This window comes from Homo sapiens, chromosome 19, assembly GCF_000001405.40.
Source record: "Homo sapiens chromosome 19, GRCh38.p14 Primary Assembly".
NCBI classification, from domain to species: Eukaryota; Metazoa; Chordata; class Mammalia; order Primates; family Hominidae; genus Homo; species Homo sapiens.
Genome location: NC_000019.10, coordinates 46,457,192 through 46,474,622, shown reverse-complemented (window position 1 = coordinate 46,474,622; position 17,431 = coordinate 46,457,192). Strand labels below are relative to the sequence as shown.

The window sequence follows — 17,431 nt, the reverse complement described above, 5'->3', positions numbered from 1 at the left end:
AGACGTGAGCCACCGCGCCCAGCCTCACAGGAACACTCTTGTTCTTGCATCCTTGAGCTTCCAAATAAGAAGTTCAACGATCTACCCTCTGGTTTTCATGCTGTGAGGAAGCCCAAGCCACATCAGTGCTTCCATCAACATTTCCCAGCTGAGCCCAGCTTTCAAAGGATTTCAGCCCAGGCACCAGACATGTGAGTGAAGAAACTCCCAGATGATTCTAGCTCTCAGTCATTTGAGTCACCCCCAACTGTCACGGGTACGACTAGGTGCGGCGGGTGTTGTGGGCAGTAAAGGTATTTACCAAGACAGTTGTAGGTAAAGAAAGGCAGATTTATTAGAGAAGATATGAAAATACATTGCACGGTTGCAATGGGCAGCACAGCAGAGAAGGGGGCTGTCTGCAAAAAGGCAGGGACTGGAAGTTTCATAGGGGTATGCTGGAGGGGGCTACATGCAGAAAGAGGTCATTGTGCCCATGGGGGATTGTGATTAGCCATCTCTCAGAAAAATTGTTCATTGTTCTTCCCAACCTGGAATGCTGTGAACCCGGGAGGTGGGGCTTGCAGTGAGCCGAGATTGCGCCACTGCACTCCAGCCTGGGCGACAGAGCGAGACTCTGTCTCAAAAAAGAAAAAAAAAAAGTGTTCCAGTGAATGAGGAAGAAGCTGCGTGCCCTTCTGTAACATAGTCTGAGAAGCCACATAGCTTCCTTTCCACTAAACTCCATTGGTTAAAGTAGTCACAAGTCTGCTCAGATTCACGAGGAGGGGACACAGATCGTCACTTCTCAATAGAAGTGTCGGAGAATTTATGGCTATGTTTTTAAACCACTGCCTAAAAATATACACTCATTCTTCCACTGATATGTAGAATTTCAACATATAAAGCACATGAGATTTAAAGACTTTAATCATAGCTAGAGTGTTTATTGGAATATTCGGTGTGAATTATGTGAATAATCAGAGGTTAACGATTTGAATGACACAACTTTTTAGCACAAAATATGATGGAAACTTGGGCAATCACACAAGTATTGATGATGCCCAAATTTAGGAATGCCAGAGATGACAGTGAAATGAACATTTGGCTATTTGGCCTTGCAAATGTCAGTTTCAAAAATGAACCCAAAGAACAGATTTTGGTTGAATACCAAGGCCCAAATTGTACTTCCATGCATCTTTCAGATGAGATCCCCCCGAATCTTCAAAACTTCCAAATCAGGAAGATTTTTTATTAGAATTCCTATTACAGAGAAAAGAAATAAGCTCAGCGGGGTCAAATTATTTCTCTAAGATCACACAGCCAGGAAGGGACATTGGTAGGTGGATCAGTGAGGGACTGGCAAAAAAAAAAAAAAAAAAACAGATGGCCAGTCCAACCGAGTCTCATAGGAGTGCTTAATTAATTAGTTTATTTTTTTTGAGACAGGGTCTCCTGGGTTCAAGCAATCCTCCCACCTCAGCCTCCCGAATAGCTGAGACCACAGGTGACCCCTATCACACCTGGCTAATTTTTTGCGTTTTTGGTAGGGACGGGGTTTTGCCATGTTGCCCAGGATGGTCTCGAACTCCCCAGCTCAAGTGATCCGCCCTCCTCAGCCTCCCAAAGTGTTGGGATTACATGCGTGAGCCACAGCACTGGGCATTAATAAACTATTAACAAAGTTCTTGCTCATGGGCAGCAAGGTTGAGGTAGGAGGCCCAGGGGACTCCACTGAGGATCACATTGAAGACTGGCCAAAACCTGGAAAAGGCACCGAAAGCCTCTCTCCATAAGACATGCCTGCCAGCACCATGACAGTTTACCATTGCCATGGCAACACCCATAAGTTACTGCCAATTTGCTAATTCTGAAAACCCACCCCTTAATTAGCACGTCATTAAAAGTGGGTATAAATGTGACTGCAGCCTTGCCCCGAGGTGCTATTCTCAGCACACTGCCTAGAGGGTAGCCCTCCTTGTTAGGTTTTGGAGGGAAGGTGAGGGTTAAAGACACACAGACAGAAGGCGGCTCAACAGCAACTCAGGTATACTGCAGACACCTGTGGAAGTGGGTAACCAGCCTAATGCCAGAGCCCACTGCTGCTTATAGGCTGGGGGTACTTATAGTTATGGGTGGGAGGGGTCTGAGCAGTATGGTTTGCTGCCCAGCAGGATGTTGATAAGATGGTTCCATGATGAGGCGGTTCTGGCCCTTGTTCTGGTGGAATGTGGTGTTCTCTGCACTTTCTCCCAGCAGAATATGATAGGGATGTTTCTTCAGTTGGGCCTTTGCACGATAGGGTATGATAATGTTTCTTTAGCTGGGCCTTTGTCCGCCTTGTGGTCAGGTGATTAGGCAGGATGTTTCTCATTGGCCCGAACCCCCGTGGAATATTTCACTTTGACCAAGATCTGCAAAATAGTCAGGGCTTACAAAATGGTTGCAGTTTGGACTAACACTTCTCTGTAGGGGCAGTCACTGAGCTGTAACATTGTCCCCTGCCTGGAGGATGCCAAGAACCTGCCCTGAATCACGTTGAGGAAACAAGAAAAGGCGAGGCATTATCCTCATGCTAGAAGGGGTCGGGGAGGAGACTAAGAAATTTCTAGAAGTTTCTGGAAATTCCTGGAAGAACCCAGCAGCTTGTAAGAGAGAAGGCTACAAGCCCAACAGGAACTGCACCTGCTGTTGGAGGAACCCAAGAAGATTAAAGCCTCGTTTTCCTCCTTTCTTGATTTCTAGTGTCTCCCAAGAGTTGCGTTGGGTGAATCCAACAGGTGGGGCAGAGGATAATACAGTCAGTGGGTGCAGCCATAGGTGTTGGCGCTTCTCATCGACCTAACCCCCGTTCGCGAGGCCCACTTGGGTTGAAAGAGGGCCTCCGTGGAGGCGCCACCGGAGTGTATCCAGACCCGCTTGCTCTGCGACCTGAACAGGCCACTCTTGCACCCGGCTCCCTAGGTCCAATTGCAGCGCCGGCGCGCCGGCCGGGCTCAGCCCTAGCAACCCACGCCCGGTTGCCATGGAGACGTCGGCACCTGCGCAGCCCAAGACCCCCGAGCGGCGGTGCGGGAGCCAGTGCGCAGGCGCGCGCTGCGACGCCAACCTCGGCTTCTCGCCGCTAACGGCATCGAGTCTGGACGCCCCGTGACCCGCCTGGGCCGGAGCGGGGGCGGACGGCGCCTTCTTGGCCCTTTCTGCCTCTAGCAGCGGCGCCGGGGTAGCCGGAGCCAGCGACTGGGAAACGGCTGCATTCCACTGCGTCTCCTTGGCCTGGCTGGGCGGTCGGAGGCTGATCTGCCAAGTAAGTCCCGGCTGGGCAGGCGGAGCGTCAGGCCCGGGGGAGGGTCCTAGGGCCTTTTGCTGCAGATTCAGGGACACGTGTGAGCACCGGGGCCTGGGTTGGGGAGGAGGGTGTTGGGAAAGCGCCAGGCCTCCTGCAGGCCAGCCGCGGAGGGGGCAGCTAGGATCTGTGAGCTTGGTCATCTTCCTGGGAACGTGACCTCGCTCCCTTGTCACCTTGCAGGATTACTGTTTGGAGACCGCTGCAGCCCACGTCCACCTGATAGACTATTTACTACACATAGTAGGTTCAGAGCCGCTAAATGTCCAAGACCATGGCGATGAACCTTCTGGAGGATTGGTGCAGGGGAATGGAAGTGGACATCCACAGGTCCTTGTTGGTCACAGGCATCCCAGAGGACTGTGGGCAGGCAGAAATTGAGGAGACCTTGAATGGGGTCCTCTCCCCACTGGGCCCGTACCGCGTGCTCAACAAGATTTTTGTGAGGGAAGAGAATGTTAAAGCTGCCCTCATTGAGGTTGGTGAAGGTGTGAATCTGAGCACCATCCCCCGTGAATTCCCAGGAAGGGGTGGTGTCTGGAGAGTGGTCTGTAGAGACCCTACCCAGGATGCCGAGTTTTTAAAAAATCTGAATGAATTCCTGGATGCCGAGGGGCGCACCTGGGAGGATGTGGTCCGCCTGCTCCAGCTCAACCACCCCACCCTGTCCCAGAACCAGCATCAGCCCCCAGAGAACTGGGCAGAAGCTCTGGGGGTGCTTCTGGGAGCAGTGGTGCAGATCATCTTCTGCATGGATGCCGAGATCCGCAGCCGGGAGGAAGCCAGGGCCCAGGAGGCCGCTGAATTCGAGGAGATGGCAGCCTGGGCTTTAGCAGCAGGGAGGAAGGTGAAGAAAGAACCGGGGCTTGCAGCAGAGGTGGGTTCTGCCTTAAAGGCAGAGACCCCCAACAACTGGAATGCCACGGAAGACCAGCATGAGCCTACCAAACCTTTGGTTCGCAGGGCTGGAGCTAAGTCTCGCTCCAGGAGAAAGAAGCAGAAGAAGAACTCCAGGCAGGAAGCAGTGCCCTGGAAAAAACCCAAAGGCATCAATTCCAACAGCACAGCTAACTTGGAGGATCCTGAGGTGGGTGATGCTGAAAGCATGGCGATCTCAGAGCCGATCAAGGGCAGCAGAAAGCCCTGTGTGAATAAGGAGGAGTTGGCTTTGAAGAAGCCCATGGCGAAATGTGCCTGGAAGGGTCCCAGAGAGCCACCTCAGGATGCCCGGGCAGAAGCCGAGAGCCCAGGAGGCGCCTCTGAGTCAGACCAAGATGGTGGCCATGAAAGCCCACCAAAGAAGAAGGCCGTGGCCTGGGTGTCTGCCAAGAACCCCGCTCCCATGAGGAAGAAGAAGAAGGTGAGCTTGGGCCCTGTCTCCTACGTCTTGGTTGACTCAGAAGATGGCAGGAAGAAGCCGGTGATGCCAAAGAAAGGGCCAGGCTCAAGAAGGGAGGCATCAGATCAGAAGGCCCCTCGGGGCCAGCAGCCTGCCGAGGCAACAGCCTCAACCTCTAGGGGTCCGAAGGCCAAGCCAGAAGGCTCTCCTCGGCGTGCCACCAATGGTGAGAATGATAGCAGAAGTGACTGGGCTCGTGCCAGCAAGTGGATGAGGCAGGAGGAGCAGGAGTGGCAGGTGGGGCAGAGGAGCCCGAGGAGGTGGTGGGTCAAGCGGGTGATGAGGAGGACCCTGGTGCATGGCAGGAGGTGGATGACACACCAGTTGAGGAGGGTAAGAGCCCAGACCGCCCTTCCAGGAGCCCCTGAAGGCCGATGCTGGAGACATCTGGTGGGCAGGAGGTGGCAGAGGAAACCCACAATGAGTGTCACTGTGGTCATTTGCCACTCCATCTGACCCATCTTCCTTGATGAGAATTTAATGGTTTGGGCCCAGGCTTGGTGGCTCATGCCTGTAATCCCAGCACTTTGGGAAGCCAAGGTGGGCAGATCGCCTGAGGTCAGGAGTTCAAGACCAGCCTGGCCAACATGGTGAAACCCCGTCTCTACTAAAAATACAAAAAATTAGCCGGGTGTGGTGCCACATACCTGTAATCCCAGCTACTCGGGAGGCTGAGGCAGGAGAATCTCTTGAACCCGGGAGGTGGAGGTTGCAGTGAGCCTAGATTGTGCCACTGCCCTCCAGCCTGGGTGACGAGAGTGAGACTCTTGTCTCCAAAAAAAAAAAAAAGAATTTAATGATTTGGGAGGCCAAGGCAGACAGATCACCTGAGGTCAGGAGTTCGAGACCAGCCTGGCCAACATGGTGAAACCCCATCTCTACTAAAAATACAAAAATTAGCTGGGCATGGTGGTTTGTGCCTGTAATCCCAGCTACTGGGGAGGCCAAGGCCTGGGATTGGCCTCCAGACATCTGCCCACCAGATGTCTCCAGCATCGGCCTTCAGGGGCTCCTGGAAGGGCGGTCTGGGCTCTTACCCTCCCTGAACCTGGGAGGTGGAGGTTGCAGGGAGCCAAGATCACACTGCTGCACTCCAGCCTGGGCGATAGAGTGAAACCCTGTTCCCCCCTCCCCCCAAAAAAAATATTAATACTTTGGAGTTATGGTGTTTGCAGGGTATGTGGCTTTAAGGGTGAAGTTTTCTAGAGACCTGGCTGGGGAATAGAAATGTTCAGGGACCCAGAAATTTCTTGGAAGTAATGCATTTCCTAATGACACCTCTCTGCTTCCCTTCTTGATCTGTTCTCTCATTTATTTGCAGAATCCAGAAAGGTTTGATCTGGGGGACCACCCATACTGAGGAGTTGAAAGAACAAGGAAGAAGTACCAAGTCAACCAAGTTCTCTCTTGTCACTGAATAAGACTTTGGACTCTCTTAGGGCCCCTGTTGATAGAGATCTGGCCCTGAGGTAAACGATAGGTGAGGTCTTGGGTGGGAGGGAGTTGGGGAAGGGAGGTGGATCTCTATGCCCTTTTCTCTACCAGGCCTGCCGTTTCACCGCCTTCTCTACTCACCTTCTCTTCGGAGGCAGGAGAGTTGGTAAGAGGATTGGGAAAATTCTAGAACATTCATTCCCCTTTATGCATGAGCAGGGTCACTGTTACACTCATCCATGTTCAGCTTTTCTCCCCCACGCCTTGCTCCCTCCTCGGAATGGTCAGCGACCTCTGCAGGCCCTGGCATTTGGAAGAGCTGGGTGGCCCTGCCATATTCTTCCTCCCGCCTTCCTCTCGTGTAACCAGCGGGGTAAGTTAAGCCAGGACCTTCGCTGCAAACCTGGTTTTATTGCTCCTTCAGTCTCCAGCTTCCATCCTCCAGTTATCTAGCCAGGAGGTCCCAAGAGTTAGTTTTAGGGAAAAAGAATGTCTGCCTAGACCTCAAAGTCTTTGAGTTTTAGAGTCTGTTAGTAAAAATGGCACTTTGATTCCCATTTGGGATGAGCCCTCTCAGGAATCCTGTGGGGAAGGGGGGTGATTATAGGGAAGGACGCAGGCATTCCTAGGTCCCCAGCTCTAATTCCATCCATCTACCCAACTGTCACCATCTTTGCACCAAACTGTCACCATCTTTGCAGCAGAAGGTCACTACTCACATTATAGTAAGAGGGGAAAAAAATCTTTTAAAACTTGGCTGTTGGCCGGGCACGGTGGCTCACGCCTGTAATCCCAGCACTTTGGGAGGCTGAGGCAGGTCGATCACGAGGTCAGGCGTTTAAGACCAGCTTGACCAACATGGTGAAACCCCATCTCTACAAAAATTAGCTGGGCGTGGTGGCGCGCGCCTGTAATCCCAGCTACTCAGGAGGCTGAGGCAGATGAATTGCTTGAATCCAGGAGGCAGAGGTTGCAATGAGCCGAGATTGTGCCACGGCACTCCAGCCTGGGCAGCAGAGTGAGACTCTCTCTCAAAAAAACAAAACTTGGCTGTTAATGTCTGCCCTCTGAATTCAGACACACTATATTAGACCAGACCACCATGTGTCATTGTGTGTGTGTGTGTGTGTGTTTGCGTGCGCATGTGTAGAGGAGAGAGCAGGGTCCCTGAGATAATGGTTTCCAAACTGTATCGTAGCCGTCCACAAAGATGTAATCCAAATCTATTTTTCTCACGTGTTTAAAAAACTGAAAAGTGACTACTCAGATATGTTGGAAGTCACATCGAAGACTATCAGAATATTACCTTGTGTTCATAGGTTAACTTGTTTTTGTACACGTCTTAGTTATTTCAGGCATCTCTTTGCTTAAAATTGAGTTTCTTGTAAATGTGACTGATGAGCGAGGTTAGAAGTGGAAGAAATTCCTGTGCATGTTCTATAATCTGACACCCTGAAAGCAAGTTTCCTTTCGTCATTCACATGCTCTTGTTCTGCCGTGACTGTTCAGGTGTATGGTAGTAAGTAAATGTATTAACATGGTGAACAGTAGTAATATTCTATCATAGAGTATTAGCCCTTGCAAGTTTTCAGGGCGTCTTTTCCGACTTCAGTTTTTGTGATAAAGAATGTGAACAGTTGTTAGATGTTCTCAGTGATTCAACTTTAAAACAAATTTCTCGTGATGATTCATTTCAAAATCCTGAGTGAGTCTGACTGAAAAATACGAGAGAAAAGAGAGTGGTTTCCGTTTGCAGCTACACAGCTGTGTGCATCGACGTTCTCCTGGGGTGTGTGCCAAGCGAAACCCAGGGGTGAATTGGATTCTTGAAGAGACCAAAGCCTGTAACTGTCCAGCTTCTAATTTCAAAACGGGTCCATTAGGGCTTCGTTGTGTTAACAAGTTGACACCATGACTAGTAAATGTAAACGTGTATGTATAAAATAAAGTTTAGCAAATTAAGTGTCCTGTTAAGTCTCTTGTAGGTGAGGATTGCATGGACTATTAAATTTGAGGAAAGGGTTCCCCTTTCCTCAAACAGTGCCCCCAGCCAGATGTGACTGGTTATCAGATACGGGTTCAAGCTTTGAGAATTGTTAATGATCCATGAGAGAAGAAGCCGTTTGTCCTCTTTGCGAATGGCTTTCCACTGATGTGGAAGGATGTCCCACAGATCTTGGGGTTTCTAGAATAGGTATCTGGTGACGCAAATTACCTCAAAGTACCAGTTTATTTTTTTATAAACAGCTGGAAAATGAAAACCTTTCCCTCCCTTCCTATTCCCTCACACAGAAGCCAAGGTCTTTTTTTTTTTTTTTTTTTGAGATGGAGTTTCGCTCTGTCACCCAGGTGGGAGTGCAGTGGCACAGTCTCAGCCCACTGCAGCCTCTACCTCCTGGGCTCAAGTGATCTGCCCACCTCGGCCTCCCAAAGCGTTGGGATTACAGGTGTAAGCCACCATGCCAAGCCAGAAGCTGAGGTCTTTTAGCTAAAAATATAGTTTTCTTCTGGCCCTCCCCTGCCCCTCCCCAGGAACTCCTGAACCAGGGTGGCCACTACATCAGTCACTTGGAATCTGTTCAAGGTACCATTTCGTGGCTCTACCTGCTGATTCAGGATCTCTTCGGGGTTGTACATAGTTATCTGCGTCTTAAACAGTTTCTCCTGAGAATTTTTTTTTTTTTTTTTTGAGACGGAGTCTCGCTCTGTCTCCTAGGCTGGAGTGCAGTATCATGATCTCAGCTCACTGCAACCTCTGCCTCCCGGGTTCAAGCGATTCTCCTGCCTCAGCCTCCCAAGTAGCTGGGACTACAGGGGTGCGCCACCACGCCCAGCTAATATTTTTGTATTTTTTTTAGTAGAGATGGAGTTTCACCATGTTGGCCAGGATGGCCTCGATCTCTGATCTCTTGACCTCGTGATCCGCCCACCTCAGCCTCCCAAAGTGCTGGGATGACAGGCGTGAGCCACCACGCCCAGCCAAGAATTCTATTAATAATACAGGTTGGAGAGCTTCAGGTGGAATAATTCAGACTTGGGGAAACGGAAGTGTCCTTAGGGGTCCAGGTTGAGGTTTTGTGAAAGTGAATGGAGATTATGAGGAAAGATGCGAAAGAGACCAAAAGGGAAGCTGGGATTTGAGGACGCGGAGCTCGTTAGGAACTGCCGTGTACTCATAGAAGCATCTGGATGAAGCTCTATTTATTGGGTGCCCCCACACCCCCACAATGGGAAAAGCCCTATTTGACCAAGATGTTTAAGTACCTCCCACAATAATAGTCACTCCTACTGGTTACACCCAGGCTGTCAGTAAAGTATGAAAGGCCTACGTGCCCTAAAAATGGGGGGAATCCAAGGTTGGGGCACATGAAAGCTCTCTTCAAAGAAACCTCATCGCCCCGGGTGGAGGTGTTCTGTTCAGGGGTGCGTCTGGGGAGGCGCTGGCCCGGAGTGTTTGCAGGAAGATGGAGAGCTGTGGATGCCACCAGCAGGGCTCGAGGGCAAAGTGTCCTGGTTGCCCATGCTGCCATTCAAGCAAGGTTCGTTGAGAATCTGCTGTACGACAGCCAGGAGCAAGACAGAGTCCTGGCTTCCTGGAGCCTGACGTTTGAGTGAGGACAGACCTTATATAGACACAGGTGGAGGGGTGGGGAGCTCTGCCGTGAAAAATATAACAGGAAGATAGGCAGGCAAGGTGAGTGTGCAGAAACGGCTGGCTGTCGCTTACAATGGTTGGGGGAGCCTCTCTGGGAACTGGATGTCTGAACAGACCTGAAGGGGGTGAGGGGTGAGACAAGCAGTTGGCCAAGAACGGCCTCCTGGGCAGAGGGAACAGTCATCGTGGAGGGAGGCTCTAATCTGTTTCAGAAAGTGAGTAAGGCTGGGCGCAGTGGCTCACACCTGTAATCCCAGCACTTTGGGAGGCCAAGGCGGGCAGATCACCTGAGGTCAGGAGTTCAAGACCAGCCTGGCCAACATGGTGAAACCCCATCTCTACTAAAAATACAAAAAAATTAGCCAGGTGTGATGGCGCGTGCCTGTGGTCCCAGCTACTTGGGAGGCTGAGGCAGGAGAATTGCTTGAACCCAGGAGGTTGAGACTGCAGTGAGCTGAGATCGCACCACTGCACTCCAGCCTGGGCGACAGAGCAAGACTCTGTCTCAAAAAAATAAAAATAAAAAAGCAAGGAGGAGGTGAGGAGCAAGAGGGCAGGGGGCTTTGGAGGCTGGTGTGCAAAGCCCCACAGGTGCGGCCAGGATGGATTCCAGCTTTAATCTGAGAGATGGGAGCCATGGGAGGGTGCTGAACACAGCGTCAGGATCCTACATAGGTTGTTTCCAGGCTCCCCCTGGAAGCCTGGTGGGGAACAGACTGCAGAGGGTGAGGTGGCAGCTGGGAGCCTAGTGGGGAGGTGACAGTAGCTGGACCCAGGAGGCCCAAGAAAAAGCTGCCCATTTGGGGATCTGGTTAGCAGAGCTGCCAAGGAGAAAGAAGTGGGTTGTGTTGATTTACTTATTCATTTATTCCTTTTTTTTACATTTTCATTTTTTAGTTAAAATAAAACATTTATATACAGTGAAATGGACAGATCTTAAGTGAACGGTCTGATAAGGATAAGTTTGGACATAGGCAGGCACCTGTGTAACCCACCCCTGCGACAAGTTACAGAACAATATCATCATCCTAGAAAGCCTCCCTGTGCCCCTTCCCAGTCGGTCCCCGCCGCAGCTCTCAGAGGTGAGCACTGTAATGATTTTTCCAGCCAAAGCTCAGTGTGTCTGTCCCAGGAGTGCTGTAAGTGGAGTCATACAGCATATGGTTTTTTTGGTGTCTGGCTTCTTTTCCTCAGCATAGTGTTTTTGTTTGTTTTGTTTTTGTTTTTGTTTTTTAGGGAGTTTCACTCTTTTTGCCCAGGCTGGAGTGCAATGGCGCCATCTCGGCTCACTGCAACCTCCGCCTCCCGGGTTCAAGTGATTCTCCTGCCTCAGCCTCCCGAGTAGCTGGGATTACAGGTGCCCACCACCACGCCTGGCTAATTTTGTAGTTTTAGTAGAGACAGAGTTTCTCCATGTTGGCCAGGCTGGTCTCAAACTCCTGACCTCAGGTGACCCGCCCACCTCAGCCTCCCAAAGTGCTGGGATTACAGGCGTGAGCCACCACGCCCCGGCCTTTTTTTTTTTTTTTTTTTTTGAGACAGCATCTCACTCTGTTGCTCAGGCTGGAGTGCAGTGGCACAGTCTTGGCTCACTGCAACCTCCGCCTGCCAGGTTCAAGCGATTCTCCTGCCTCAGCCTCCCAAGTAGCTGGGACTACAGGTGTGCACCACCACGCCCGGCTAATTTTTGTATCTTTCATAGAGACGGGGTTTCATCATGTTGCCCAGGCTGTTCTCGAACTCCTGGCCTCACGTGATCCACCCGCCTCAGCCTCCCAAAGTGCTGTGATTACAGGTGTGAGCCACCGTGCCCGGCCAGCATCGTGTTTTTGAGATTCATGTGTGTTTGAGTAGTATTTTCAATTATTTAAAAACAAAATTTTTTTAAGAGTCAGGCTCTTGCTCCATCATGTAGGCTGGAGTGCAATTGTGTGGTCACAGCTCACTGCAGCCTCAAACTCCTGGGCTTAAATGATCTTCCTGAGTAGCTAGGACTGCAGATGCGCACCACCATGCCCAGCTAACTTTTTTTTTTTGGTAGAGATGAGGTCTCACTATGTTGCCCAGGCTGGTCTTGAATGCCTGGCCTCAAACAATCCTCCTGCCTCAGTCTTTTGAAGTGCTGGGATTACAGGCATGAGACACTGTGCCCCACCACGACCTACATATTTTTAAATTACTTTTTTTGTTTGTTTGTTTTTTGAGATGGAGTCTCGCTCTGTTGCCCAGGCTGGACTGCAGTGGTGCGATCTCAGCTCACTGCAAGCTCTGCCTCCTGGGTTCACACCATTCTCCTGTCTCAGCCTCCCGAGTAGCTGGGACTACAGGCACCCGTCACCATGCCCGGCTAATTTTTTTTTTTTTTTTGTATTTTTAGTAGAGATGGGGTTTCACTGTGTTAGCCAGGATGGTCTTGATCTCCTGACCTCGTGATCTGCCCGCCTCAGCCTCCCAAAGTGCTAAGATTACAGGCATGAGCCACCGCACCCGGCCAATTTACTTTTTAATATTTTCCCCACATTAAAAAATAAAACATCACAGACTTTTTAAATTTTATTTATTTAATTTTTTTTTGAGACAGGGTCTTGCTCTTCACCCAGGCTCAAGTGCAGTGGCGTGATCTTGGCTCATGGCAGCCTTGACTTTCCAGGCTCAAGCCATCCTCTTATATCAGCCCCTCTGCAAGTAGCTGGGACTACAGGTGCAAACCACCATGCCCAGCTATTTTTGTATTTTTTGGTAGAAACAGGGTTTTGCCATGTTGCCCAGGCTGACTGCAGACTTTTAAAAGCACCCAAATGCATTATTCAAGCAACATTAGCCACTGTGGTCAGATTAACGATAATGCAATAATTTTTTTCTGTTCATCTCTGTTTTAGATTTGCACTTTTTGTAATGGTATGAACAATTAAGAGGATTAGGGAACTGTGCTGGTCTGTGCTAAAGTTCATCACAGGCAGGGCACATCCAAGCCTTTAAACTTGCTCCCAGGTGTCCTGGTTCTAAATAGCACATCTGTCCCACTTAATTAAACTCAGGCATGACTCTTGCAAACCCCTTGGGTCCTGGCTCTTGTTCAGGCCTGAATGGCCACATAATAGCAAGAGAATGCGTGGCAGGTCTCAGCTTGGCAACATGACATGAGGCATCATCCCAGTGCCCAGGGTAAGATTTGGTGTTTCTTCTGTGACTCTCCTTTTTTTTTTTTTTTTTTTTTTGAGACTGTGTCTCGCTCTGTTGTCCAGGCTGGAGTACAGTGGTGCAATTTCAGCTCACTACAACCTCTGCCTCCTGGGCTCAAGCCATCCTCCTGCCTCAGCCTCCTGAGTAGCTGGGATTACAGACATGCAAAGTGCTGGGATTACAGGCGTGAGCCACTACGCCCGGCCAATTTTAATTTTTAAAAGACAGGATTTCACTCTGTTGCCCAGGCTTGAGTACAGTGGCATGATCACGGCTCACTGCAGCCTCCACCTCCTGGGTTTAAGCAATCCTCCTGCCTCAGCCTCCTGAGTAGCTGTGACCCCAAGAGCACACCACCTTGCCCAGCTAATTGTTTTACTTTTTTTTTTTTTAATAGAGACAGCTCCCTATGTTGCCCAGGCTTGTCCTGGCCTCAAGCTGTCCTGCTGCCTCAGCCTTCCAAAGTGCTGAGATAACAGGCATGCACCACCACACCCAGCAGAGTCCCACTTTTCATCTTGTGTCTTTGAATATTTCAACCACAAACAATAAATACTTATATTCATTTATTTTAAAGTAACCAGAGATAGTACAACCACTTTGGAGAACTGTTTGGAAATTTATTAAAAAGTTAGACATACCCTGGCTGGGCTCAGTGGCTCACACCTGTAATCCCAGCACTTTGGGAGGCTGAGGCGGGAGGATCACTTGAGGACAGGAGTTCGAGAGCAGCCTGGCCAACATGGTGAAACCCCGTCTCTACTAAAAATACGAAAATTAGCTGGGCATGGTGGCGGGCTCCTGTAATCCCCGTTACTTGGCAGGCTGAGGCTGGAGAATCGCTGGAACCTGGGAGGTGGAGGTTGTGGTGAGCTGCGATCACGCCACTGCACTTGAGCCTGAGTGACAAAGCGAGACTCTGTCTCAAAAAAAAAAAAAGTTAGACATACCCTTATGATATGACCCAGACATTCCACTCCTAAGTATTTACCTAAGATAAATGAAAATATATATCCACCAAAGATGTGTACACAAATGTGCATAATAGCATACTTATTCATAATAGCCTAAATCTGGAAACAGCCCAAATGTTGTACCACATTTTATTTATCCATTCATTGGTTGATGGACGTTTGGGTTGCCTCCACTTTTTGACTATTTTGAATAATACCACCATGAACATTGGTGTACCAGTTTTTGTGTGGGCATAGATTTCTCTTGTATATAGCTAGGAGTGGTACTGCGGTAGGAGGTGGAGCTCAACTCTAGAGGTAGGGCTTAGACACTGGACCAAATTGAGACCTAGCTAAAACAGGTCTGGGGTGGAAGCAGCTTTCTAGAAGACATGGCCACCACTGTACCATGCCAGTTTACCGTTGCCATGGTAACACCTGGAAGTTACTGCCCCTTTCCATGGCAATGCCCTTGACAACCCTGAAGTTGCCAGCTTTTTCCTGGAAATTTCTGCATAAACCACCCCTTAATTTGCATATAATTAAAAGTGGGTATAAATATGACAGCAGCACTGCTTCTGAGCTGCTCCTCTAGGCACACTGCCTATGGGGTAGCCCCGCTTTGCAAGGAGCAGTCTCTCTGCTGCGGCTGTGCACTGCGGCCTCAAGAAAAGTTGCTATCACCACCAGCTTGACCTTGAATTATTTCAAGGGTGAAGCCAAGAACCCTCCTAGACTAAGCCTCAATTTGGGGGCTTGCCTATCCTGCATCAGTACAACCCTTCAGTGGAACCTTACCCAACAATAAACAGGACTGCAGGACTGATAGAATAATATCGATGGGGCTGCGCACCGTGGCTCATGCCTGTAATCCCAGCACTTTGGGAGGTCAAGGTGGGTGGATCATCTGAGGTCAGGAGTTTGAGACCAGCCTGGCCAACATGGTGAAACCCCATCTCTACAAAAAATACAAAAATTATCCGGGCATGATGGTGGGTGCATGTAATCCCAGCTACTGGGGAGGCTGAGGCAGGAGAATCGCTTGAACCCAGGAGGCGGAGGTTGCAGTGAGCTGGGATCGCGCCATTGTACTGGGTGATAGAGGGAGACTCCATCTCAAAAAAACGTAGGCAGCAAAAGAGTTCCAGACTAATAGAGTCCAGTCCAAATATACAACTCTAGATTCCTTACATAAGCTCCAGACAGAAGCTAATTCTCTGGTTTTAGCAGTGCTCACCACCACATAATTCTAGATGTACTAACCATACAACAAGGAGGCCTCTGTGTGCAATTAACACCTCTTGTTTAATCTAGGTAAGTTTACCAAGCCAAATAGGACAGAGCCTACACTATATAAAGGCATAATTCAGAGACCACATGAAATAGCCACCACTGAATCTGTATACTAATATAATGATATACAAACATTATTGATCATTGGGATTAGGAATATATGCCACAAATTAAGCTCCAAAAAAAAAAAATATCGATGGATCTCAAAGGCTTTATGCTAAGGGGAAGCCAGAAGTAAAAGATGCCCACGTACTATATGATTTCATTTTTAAGAAGTTCTAGAATAGGAAAAACTAATCTATGATGGCAAAAATTACAACAGTGGGTGTCTCAGTAAGGAGAAGGACTTTGAGAAGGAACTTTTTGGAGTGGTGGAAGGTTCTGTGTCTGGGTTGGTGGTTGCACAGGTGTTAAAATGAATTTCTGTCAAAAATCATCAAATTGTACATATACTTTAAATGTGTGCATTTCACCACATGCAAATTATACTTGAATGGAAACTATTTTTAAAAAGTAACTGGGCCAGGTGTAGTGGTTCATGCCTGTAATCCCAGCACTTATGGAGGTCTAGGTGGGAGGATCGCTTGAGCCCAGGAGTTCAGGACCAGCCTGGTCAACACGGCGAGACCCCCATCTCTATTTAAAAAAAAATAATAAAATGGCCGGACATGGTGGCTCACGCCTGTAGTCCCAGCACTTTGGGAGACCAAGGCGGGCAGATCACCTGAGGTCAGGAGTTCAAGACCAGCCTGGCCAACATGGTGAAACCCTGTCTCTACTAAAAATAGAAAATTAGCCAGGCGTGGTGGCACACACCTGTAATGCTAGCTACTCAGGAGGCTGAGGCAGGAAAATTGTTTAAACCTGGGAGGCGGAGGTTGCAGTGAGCCGAGATAGCGCCATTGCACTCCAGCCTGGGTGCCAAGAGTGAAACTCCGTCTCAAAATAATTAATTAGTTAAAAATAATAATAAATAAAAAGCAATGGAGTGGCTATTTTATTTTCATCTTTACAATCCTGTGCACTGAATAAACAGCCAAAGCTATAGCAATGCTGCACACCAAAGCCAGCCACTGATGGGCCCAGTTTAACGCATCTTGTGTGTGATTATAGATCTTGTAATAAACTTGCCCCTGCCCTCCCTGTGTGTCTCATTCACATTTCTGATCAGCATGCTGTGGTTTAAGACTGTTTGCAGCCTAACATGGCTCCGTGTTTAAAATTCAGGCCCTACACATTCGTTCTCATAAAATTGAACCTTTGATTCATGTCTCTAGCATGAATCTAGATATTACACTGAGCTCAAGGTCTGGGACTGACCTTTAGGGGCTGCGTGGTCCGGAGGGAGGGCGCAACAAGCCACCCCAGAGGAGTCATTGGAGAAGGTTTTCCTGTTGCTTCCCGTGACCCTGACATTTATGAGGGGAAAGCGTTCAGCTCTTAGGGAATGTTAGTGATGCCGGGTGACCCAAGTTTTTCATCCTTGACTTACAAGCATCTGGGTTGGTTTCACCAAACCACGTCCTGACATTATAAAGCAAATTACTGCATTTAAAATCATGGTGGCATGCACCTGTAATCCCAGCTACTAGGGAGTCTAAGTTGGGAGGCTCCCTTGAGGCCAGGAGTTCAAGGTTACAGTCAGCTATGATCCTGCCACGACACTCTAGGCGACAGAATGAGACCCTGTCTCAAACAAACAAACAAACAAAATAAAAAATAAAAACCGACTACCCTCTGTTAATGGCCAGAATATCCCGGAAAATGAAAATTCATGTCGTCGGATTAGTCCCACTGATATATCAAGGAATGGATTGTGAGGATACGATGTCACTGTAGTTTACTTGTGTTGAGGAACTAGGCCAACAAAATGGTGGGACAGAATCATGAACCCAGAAATAGAGCTTCATACATCTGAGAACTTAGACTATGACCAGCCATGGTGCTATTTATTCTAAATCGGCAGGAGAGAAAAGAGATTTTCTAAACTTAGCTAATGCTCTGAAAACTGGCTAGCTATTTGGACAAAACAAAAAGAATAAAGTTGGTTTCCCTAGCTCCTTCTTTGAGTCCTCAGATACCTTCCAGATGAATCAAAGATGTAAATGTGAAAAATGAAATTAATAAACATTTAGGTAAAAATAGGAATGAGTTTACTTATAATTTTGGAAGCAGAAGAATTTTTGTAT

General features: G+C 48.8%; 1 protein-coding gene across 3 annotated transcripts; it reads left to right on the top strand.

Moving 5' to 3' along the window:
- Window positions 1–3,059: 3,059 nt before the first annotated feature.
- PNMA8A (PNMA family member 8A) lies at window positions 3,060–8,120 on the top strand. 3 transcript variants are annotated; one of them, NM_001103149.2, is made up of 3 exons: window positions 3,060–3,286; window positions 3,509–4,685; window positions 6,046–8,120. In NM_001103149.2, exons 2-3 carry the CDS (start codon window positions 3,588–3,590, stop codon window positions 6,082–6,084), a joined length of 1,137 nt encoding a protein of 378 aa, NP_001096619.1. In that variant the 5' UTR covers window positions 3,060–3,286; window positions 3,509–3,587; the 3' UTR covers window positions 6,085–8,120. The 3 variants fall into 3 exon arrangements, with proteins under 3 accessions (NP_001096619.1, NP_060685.2, XP_011525369.1); NM_018215.4 differs by having other exon boundaries at window positions 3,509–4,890; XM_011527067.3 differs by having other exon boundaries at window positions 3,509–4,961.
- Window positions 8,121–17,431: the final 9,311 nt, after the last annotated feature.